This window comes from Homo sapiens, chromosome 4 (assembly GCF_000001405.40).
Source record: "Homo sapiens chromosome 4, GRCh38.p14 Primary Assembly".
NCBI classification, from domain to species: Eukaryota; Metazoa; Chordata; class Mammalia; order Primates; family Hominidae; genus Homo; species Homo sapiens.
Window position 1 is genome coordinate 120,031,612 of NC_000004.12, and position 8,315 is coordinate 120,039,926.

General features: G+C 37.0%; 1 long non-coding RNA gene across 2 annotated transcripts; it reads right to left on the bottom strand.

The window, feature by feature from the left end:
* Positions 1–3,421: 3,421 nt before the first annotated feature.
* On the bottom strand, positions 3,422–8,104 carry LOC124900770 (uncharacterized). Of its 2 annotated transcripts, none has more exons than XR_007058254.1 (2): positions 8,007–8,104; positions 3,422–3,587 (listed from the first exon to the last, which is right to left on the bottom strand). It is a non-coding gene; the product is annotated as an uncharacterized LOC124900770 (long non-coding RNA). The 2 variants fall into 2 exon arrangements; XR_007058253.1 differs by lacking the exon at positions 8,007–8,104 and adding an exon at positions 4,647–4,919.
* Positions 8,105–8,315: the final 211 nt, after the last annotated feature.

Consider the following 8,315-nt stretch of genomic DNA (forward strand, 5'->3'; position numbering starts at 1 on the left):
GTAAGTAATGGACACACTTCCCATTTATCTATGGAGAGTAAGAAGGTGATCAACTTTGTCAGCAGTGAAATTGCTTTTTGACCATTTCTGCCTAATCCACCTTAGCCCTCTAACATAGAAACCACCATATCTCCTGGGTTAATTTACATATTTAATGCTCAGGTGGACCTGCGTTTTAAATAGTTATAAGCCTGATGAAGGATTCACAGGCACTGTGGGCACAGCACTCGGGGACTTCCCACTAGTCAGAAGTACTTGTGGAAACACTAAAGCTACAACAAGATCAAAGACATCTCATGTGGAAATCTCCCTGTGACTTCATTCATTCATGGGACACTTAACATTAAAACTCTTCAATGGAATTTATGAAATGGAAATAACTTTGCTGGAAGCATACATGAAAAATAATCTAGATGCAAAGCTTAGGGCATATTGATTATAAGAAAAGTGTCTTGTGATAAAAGGGGGCATCTTTCTATATTTTTTAACATTTTTTACCCTATGTTTGTGTAATTGAAGATTTTTATGAAACAATAAATTATCAGATAAAATTATTTTTCTAGGTAGCAGCTCTAAAGGTACTAATCAAACTAAAAATGTATGTTCTACTCAGAATACAGACACACACTTGCTTGTTTTTACAGATTTTTAAATTTTCTAATGTAGGTATCTATCTGTACAAATACCTAACATTCTGTATGGAAACTTCCATATATATTGACCTGAGTAACTTATTTGAGTACTTTTCCCTTTAGTTCAATAAAGTGCTAAGATTATCTACTTCCTTGAAACCAAACCAAGGAGTTATCAAAGTCCAGAACATAGTTTCCATTCTCCTACAATATTTGTTAAGCATCTACCATGTGCTAATCACTCTTCTAAATATTTAATGCACATTATTTTATTTACTCCTCAAATAGCTACATGAAATAGTCGCTATTAGCCCCATTTTATAGATGAAGAAACTCATGGAGAGGTTAAGTAAATTGCCCACATTGTAATACAGACGACCTAACTTGCAAGCCTATCCTCAAAATTACTTAACGTCTGCAGGTGTTGACCCACCTTCTAAAGCTCTTGCGTTGAAGAATAGTCCCTTCATCATTCTTGCCCTTGCCCTTCTTTTCCCCAGAGTCATCAGGTTTGCTGATGGAATTATTCTTTGAGAATGAGGGGATAAATCTTATGACATTATATCAACAAAGCTAGATACCTTGGAAATGTTTTAAATGTATTACAACATAGCTTTGTGTTCAAATGGATTCTTGTAGAGTCCCTCTGTTTCTTCAATCACTGACACTGTTATACTATTTCAGTAGAAATGAGAAAGTATGAGTCTAACATAAACTGGCTCATAGGAGGAGGAGGAAGATGAGGAAGCATAGGAGTAGCAGCAAAAGAAGGGAAAGAGGAAGAAGAAGTAAGAGAAGAGGGAGAAAAAAGGGGGAGAGGAGGAAGAGAAGAAGTAGGATGAAAGAGGAGAAAGAAGAAGAAAAAGGAGAAGGAGGAGGATGAGGAGGAGATCTACCTGTCTTTATACTGGAGTAGAAGCCCCAGTGAACCATGAAAATTTACAGGATTCTAAGGATATTTCCCCAGTTCTAAGATAGAGATGTTCCCTCAGATGCTTCTGAGTAAGGGTCGTGGCATATTCCATAAGTATCTGTTTGTAATTCCATTGATAATAAGTCAATAGTCATCTTCATTTTTGACCTAAACAAAATTCATTTTTCATTCTCTATTTTTTAAATAAGATGGCAGTGGTGGCTAAAGAGGGTGTGAGCTAAGTACAGCCTCTTTCTTTTTGTAAGTTCTTCGTGGACCTCCAGTAGTATTAATACCTTAATATTTATAAAGCACATTCTGTCTTAATGTCCTTTGTAGGGACATGGATGAAATTGGAAATCATCATTCTCAGTAAACTATCGCAAGAACAAAAAACCAAACACCGAATATTCTCACTCATAGGTGGGAATTGAACAATGAGAACACATGGACACAGGAAGGGGAACATCACACTCTGGGGACTGTTGTGGGGTGGGGGGAAGGGGGAGGGATAGCTCTGGGAGATATACCTAATGCTAGATGACGAGTTAGTGGGTGCAGCGCACCAGCATGGCACATGTATACATATGTAACTAACCTGCACATTGTGCACATGTACCCTAAAACTTAAAGTATAATAATAATAAATAAATAAAAGAAAATAAATAAATAAATAAAAGTCATAATTTTATTGGAAAAACAACTTTCTATTTATCATTCTAATGAATATAAAGAGTAATCATGAAGTCCTCATCTGACTTTAATATTTGAGAGCAGAATTTTCTAATGTAAAAATTATGGTAAAAACTTGTACAAGGTGGTAGCATTCAGTGCTGATAGCCACTTTCTCAAAAAATCTGTTTTCTCTATCTCAAAGACCTTGGGCTTACAAACCAATTTCAGATGTTTTAGATGACTTACACTTTCTAATAATCCCAATGAATGTAAAATGTATATAAAAATGATCTTTCAGGAACAGCACATCTTAAACAAGGATATTATTAAATAACTTTATATATATTTCATCACATCATGAAAACATTTGCGTGGATACAAAGAACTATCTCAAAGCAGTATTCAAAAAATGAAAAATGTTGCACATGTGTGTAATAATGAGCCAAGGAAAATAAAAATTCAGCTCTTAAATATATGAAATTTTCTAGCAGAAAGGGAACATTGTCTTTATAGGAAATGTCTTTAGCAAAATACTACGGGTTCTATAAAACCCATTAACGGGTTATCAGTGTCTAGGACATAAATGGCTTCTGGTAAGAAAATTAAGGTCTACTCTCCCTAAATACTATCATAATTACAAAGGTTAAGAAAAAAGAAGTAGAGTAAAACATGTGTCCCTTAAAAATCAAACATGAGTGGTCACAAGGTCCTAAGAAGCAGAGAATGAGAACTCCAGTTGCTTGTTTATCTCTCAGGCTGAGCATGGTTGGTTACAATGAGGGGTAGCAGGAAGAGCACAGCCTTGGACTCCAGTCCAAGGAACTCCAGTCTCTCCTGCAATTTCCCAGTGTTTGACCTTGGGCCACTTACTGTTCCTTTCTCAGCCTCCATTTTCATATCTAAAACCTCGAGATGATAATACCTGCCTTGGAAGGCACTTTGGAAAACTAGGTGAGCCCTCGGTGATGTTTCTAGTATGGTCCTGTGAATCTCTCCAGTAAATTTTAGTTTCCTATATGTACTTACTTGGGTTAAATACAGAGAATGGTAACTAATCTAAAAATATTTCTCAGTAGTAACTTATTCTCTATCAGTGGCTCTTTCAGGGCACTTCACTTGGACCTCACGCCCAGACCTAGATAATCTTCTGTTCTCTTTATGACCTCACCAGCTTGACAGTTACATATTTAGGCAATTGCACTCATCCAAAATATATTTTATTATCTTCATTTTTGTCTCTGACTTTTTTTCATAGCTGGACTTCTCATTCATTTCTCCAGTCACTGTGCAATCTGCTCCATTTTTTACTGCATACCAAGCAGATGCAAGTTGGTCTTTTACTCACGGCAAGGGAAAGGTTGATTTTGCTGGTAAGAGAAAAACCAAATAGTTGTGGAATCTTCTATAAAATCCAAAAGAAAAGAAATAAAGAATAGAGGCAGGAGCACTACATGTTGGGTAACAGCCTGTGCTTTGAAATAAACAGATCGAATTTCAAATGTGAACTCCACTAACTAATAATGTGGTGACCTGGGGGAAGCATTAGACCTCTGAGCCTCAAGGCCTTCTGTAAAACACGGAAAATAGCCCCATCTCAATCTCACAAGAGCAGCTGTAAGGATTAGACAAGATTGGGCACATAAAGTCCTTAGCATAAGACCTGACACATAATCTGCCCCTGATAAATCATACCTATCATTACTGTCACCCTGGTTAAATATGGCATTTACAAATATTATCACTTGATCTTGCATATCTTATCTATGACACAGATTAATTGGAAACCAGGATGAGGGCAGCAGAGAAAAGGTGTTTCTTTCTTCCTTTTTTTTTTTTTTTTTCCACCCTGGTGATGACAAAGCTTTGTGATGAGATTTTATGTGTTGAAATATTATTTGTTTTCATGATATTTTATAAATATTGAAAACAGAAATGTAGCAGGTAAACAGATGGCCATCCATTCAGTTCTTTCCATCTCCCTGATGTCAGATATTTCTTAAGAAATCACCATTTTTCTAATATTGCATTTGTGTTCCGTGTGGAGAGGAAAGTACCTGCAATTGGTTCTGCCTCCAACATAGATTCTAATTCTGCCTTCTGCATCATTCGTTTCTATTGTTGCTCCCAACATAGAGCCATTGTCATCATATTTCAGAACAATTGCCTCCCTAACTAGTCTCCCTGCTTCCACTTTTCCTTGCCCTCCAATCCGTTATCTACCAACAGCCAGAACAATATACGAAAAATATTTACCAGATTTGGTCATTCCCCTACTGACCCTTCAGAATAATATTCCAACCCCTCACTATGCCCTATGAAGACCTGTGTGACCACTCTTGTGTCTGACATCATGTCTCCAGGCATTTGTTTCCAGTCACATCAGCCTTCCTGGAGCCCCTCCCTCCAAAGGACCAAGCTGCACCCACCATAAGCCTGTTGTCCCCTCAGCCTAGAAGGTTCAGCCACCTGGTCTAGGAATGCTGCTGCTTCTCATCCCAGAGCTCAGGTTTAAATGTCATCACCTCACAGAGGCCCTCTTGGATGACACCTCTCTTACCCTGTGACATCTTCTCCACATGGTACCCTATCTGTCTTCTTCTTAGAATCACTATTCACAATCTGCAATTTCCCCTCTCTTAGTTTTATCATCTGTCATTAAGTCCCAGGCAAAAGGGACCCTGCCTGTCACATTCTTGATGATATTCTCTACAGGGGTGCTGCACACAACAGGACCTCCAAGAATACCTGTTGAGTAAATGAAGGATCAAGGCATTTGCAAAAGCAGAAGAAAAAATTATATTTTCATATAGTAAGGATTAATGAAAATGCAATTTGTTAGTAAAAATGCATCTTATGATAATCAGGAGAGCATGTCATGTATATGTACTTGCTATTAGACACAAGCAACAAATCGTTAAACAGAAAGAGGTGCCACTTCTGCCTCCTCCAGCCTCTTTTGAGTTCTACAGAGCCATAGATTGGCAGGGTACAATTGGCACCCTTCTCACTGTGGGTGTCCATCTCAGAAAAAGAGCTTTTCCTGCAACACATTGCACACAACAAAACGAAGAGTCAGTAGTCAAACATATGATAGAGTTTTATGCCAAATTTCAAGGGTGATACAATGCTAAAAATTATGGTCAATCTATCATTGCTGGCAGGAGCCACAAGGAAAGCATGAAAAGAAATACCGCCACACCCTAGGAACAAACCCAGCCCCGGGTGACAGCTCGCAAGGAAGGGGGACCTCAGTACACAACCTCAAGTAAATGAATTTACCCCAAAATTTGATTGAGCTCATCAGAAGCAATTTCTTCTGGAGAGCCTCCAATAAGAAATGCAGCCCTGACAACACCTTGATCAGTCTTATGGGACCCCAATTAGAGGACCCAGTCAAGCCCACATAATCTTCTGATGTACACAACTGCAACATAATACATTCTTGTTGCTTTAAGCAACTAAATGTATGGTAATTGGTTATAATGGCTAAAAAACAAATATAGACTGTGATACTTGAAAGTGAGGTGCTACTGTAATAAACACTTAAAATGCAGAAGCAACATTGGAATCAGCAGCAAGTGGACGTTGGAAGAATTTTGAGGAGCATGATGGAAAAAACTATCTAGATTGTCTTGAACAGACTGCTAGCAAAAATATGGACATTAAAGACTCTGCCAGTAAGCGTTCAGAAGATACTGAGGAGTATTATAGGGAAAAATCTAACTTGCCTTAGAGACTACTTACATCACCCCAAACAAACAACTGTTGGTGGAAATACAGATTTTAAAGGCACTGCTGCTGAGGGCTCAGAAGAAACATGTTATTGAAAAGTGGAGAGGGGAGATCCTTGTTATAAGCAGGCAAAACACTTAGTATAATAGTGCCCTCTAGTTATGTGGAAAGTGGTCTTTTTAAATGATGAACTTGGATCTTTAGGTGAAGAGATTTTCAAGCAGATAGTTGAAAGAAGTGGCTTTTTGTTTTTTTCTTGCTACTTACAGTAACATGTGAGAAGAGAAAGATAAGTTGAAAGAGAAATTGTTAAACAAAAGATAATCCAAACTTGTTCAATGAAAGAGAACCCACACTTGATGAGTTGGGAGATTCTCACCCTATACAGATGCCAAAGACAGCAAAATTAAGAGGATGCTTCAGAAAATGTGGCATAAAAAATACAGAGTGTGATTGTACAATCTGTTACTAAACCTTCATAAAGATCAAATGATGATAGTACTCAGGCACAGAAAAAGCTCTTTGAAGAGATTAAGGATGTGGGTCATAGATCCCCTCAATATAGCCAGAAGGACTCAAAAAGCTTAGGGGCATTGTCTTGCAGCCATCTAGGCAGCAGACAAAAATACAAAGCGAGTATGTCAGAAAACTTGGTACACATAACTTCTAGCTAATGAAGTGATCGGTAGGAATGGTAACCATGGAGACCCATAAAGTTCTTGAGAATTTTATATTAGCAGAAGCACCATCAGGTTGGCTTGAAAAAGACAGAAAGAGTACAGAATAACAGAAGGCTGTCAGACTCAGAAATCCTATTGGCAGAAAACAGACAGACAAAACTACTCAGCTGCAAACAAGTGCTACTTTTCATGAGCATGTAAACATGACACAGAAAGCAGTGCCCAAAGTCCGGAGGGAAAACCAAGGACCCAGAGGGTGGAGCCAAGAGCCACAGAGGATTATGTTTGAAGTATCCTTGGAGAGACTTTTAAAGTTAATAATATAATATACACTATGCCTTGCATATGTAATATATGTCAAAAGACCATTAAAACAATTTAAATTACCAGGTCTCTAATCTGGCAAAATGTCAATGATAGTAATAAAATAGAACATATAATCTGGAAAAATAGTATCTTCATAGGGTTATAATGAGACTTAAAATGAAGTAAGCTATGAAAAGCATTCTTAAACTGTAAAGCTCTCCATAAATATTTATTACTAGTTAATTCTGAATAAAAGTCACAGATATGTCATCCTTAGAGATAGGGTTTCACTGTATTTTTAAAAATATAATCACATTTCCCTAATGTTTTAAACCAATTTATATTTTTTAGAAGCATCTTTCCACTGAATCACCTAACATTTACTCTACCTAAGCCCTATGCTGCACTGTGCAAAAAAAGACTCAGATGGATCTGATATTTTTTGCATACCAAGCATTTACTAATAAAAATAAAAACAAGCACACAGACACAAGACATCCTAACATATACAAAACAAAATTATATAGAGGCTTGCAAACAAGTAATTAAAATTTGGCTCCTCATCAGCATGAAAATTTAGGTAACTGAGGATCCTGGAAAACTGACTCCCATCTTACTGAAATAAATATTGAAATTTTGGTAAAAAAAATTACTAAAGAACACCAAATAATACTGGAAACATCAAAAACTTGCTAAACTGAACAAAGTGCTTAAATATTATTTGGTTGAGCTATAGTCAAGCTCCAACAGTACTCTGTGGTCATAATAGGCAATACCAGCTAGATTGAATAGAGCATAAAAACTCTTAAAAATAGGGCAGACATTTTCATAGACCTACAGAAAATTGTCTCCTATAGAGCCAAGAAAGTATCTTCCCTGAGAATACAAAGACACCTCTCTCGAGCTCAGCAGCACTAAATCTCATGAACATGACTAACTCCACGAAACCAGTTCTAAAGTTAAGAATAAGTACATATGTTTTAGAGGAAACAAGACAGAAAACTTTTTTGATGATCAAAAATTATATATTAAAAGAATATCTTGTGCAATGATGCTTTAAATGACCACCTTTTTGATTGATGTGAACATCCTTCATTCTTCCATTCTTGGTATTGAAAATCAGTCATGTCTGCGGCACCTTGCAGAGCACTACAGGCAAATCTTTGAAGCCCGAGGATTCCTCAGTAGTCAGGATCACTCACCATTATGATGTCAAGGTTCTAAGGCTCATCCGACAACTGACAAACTGACATACTTCTTTCCCAGATTGCGCTCATCTTTTAACTTTTTAAATCTAAGCTTTTTATTGTTAGATCATTGTATAATAGATTCACATGTGGTTGCAAGAAATAATACAGAAAGATTCCATTAACCTTT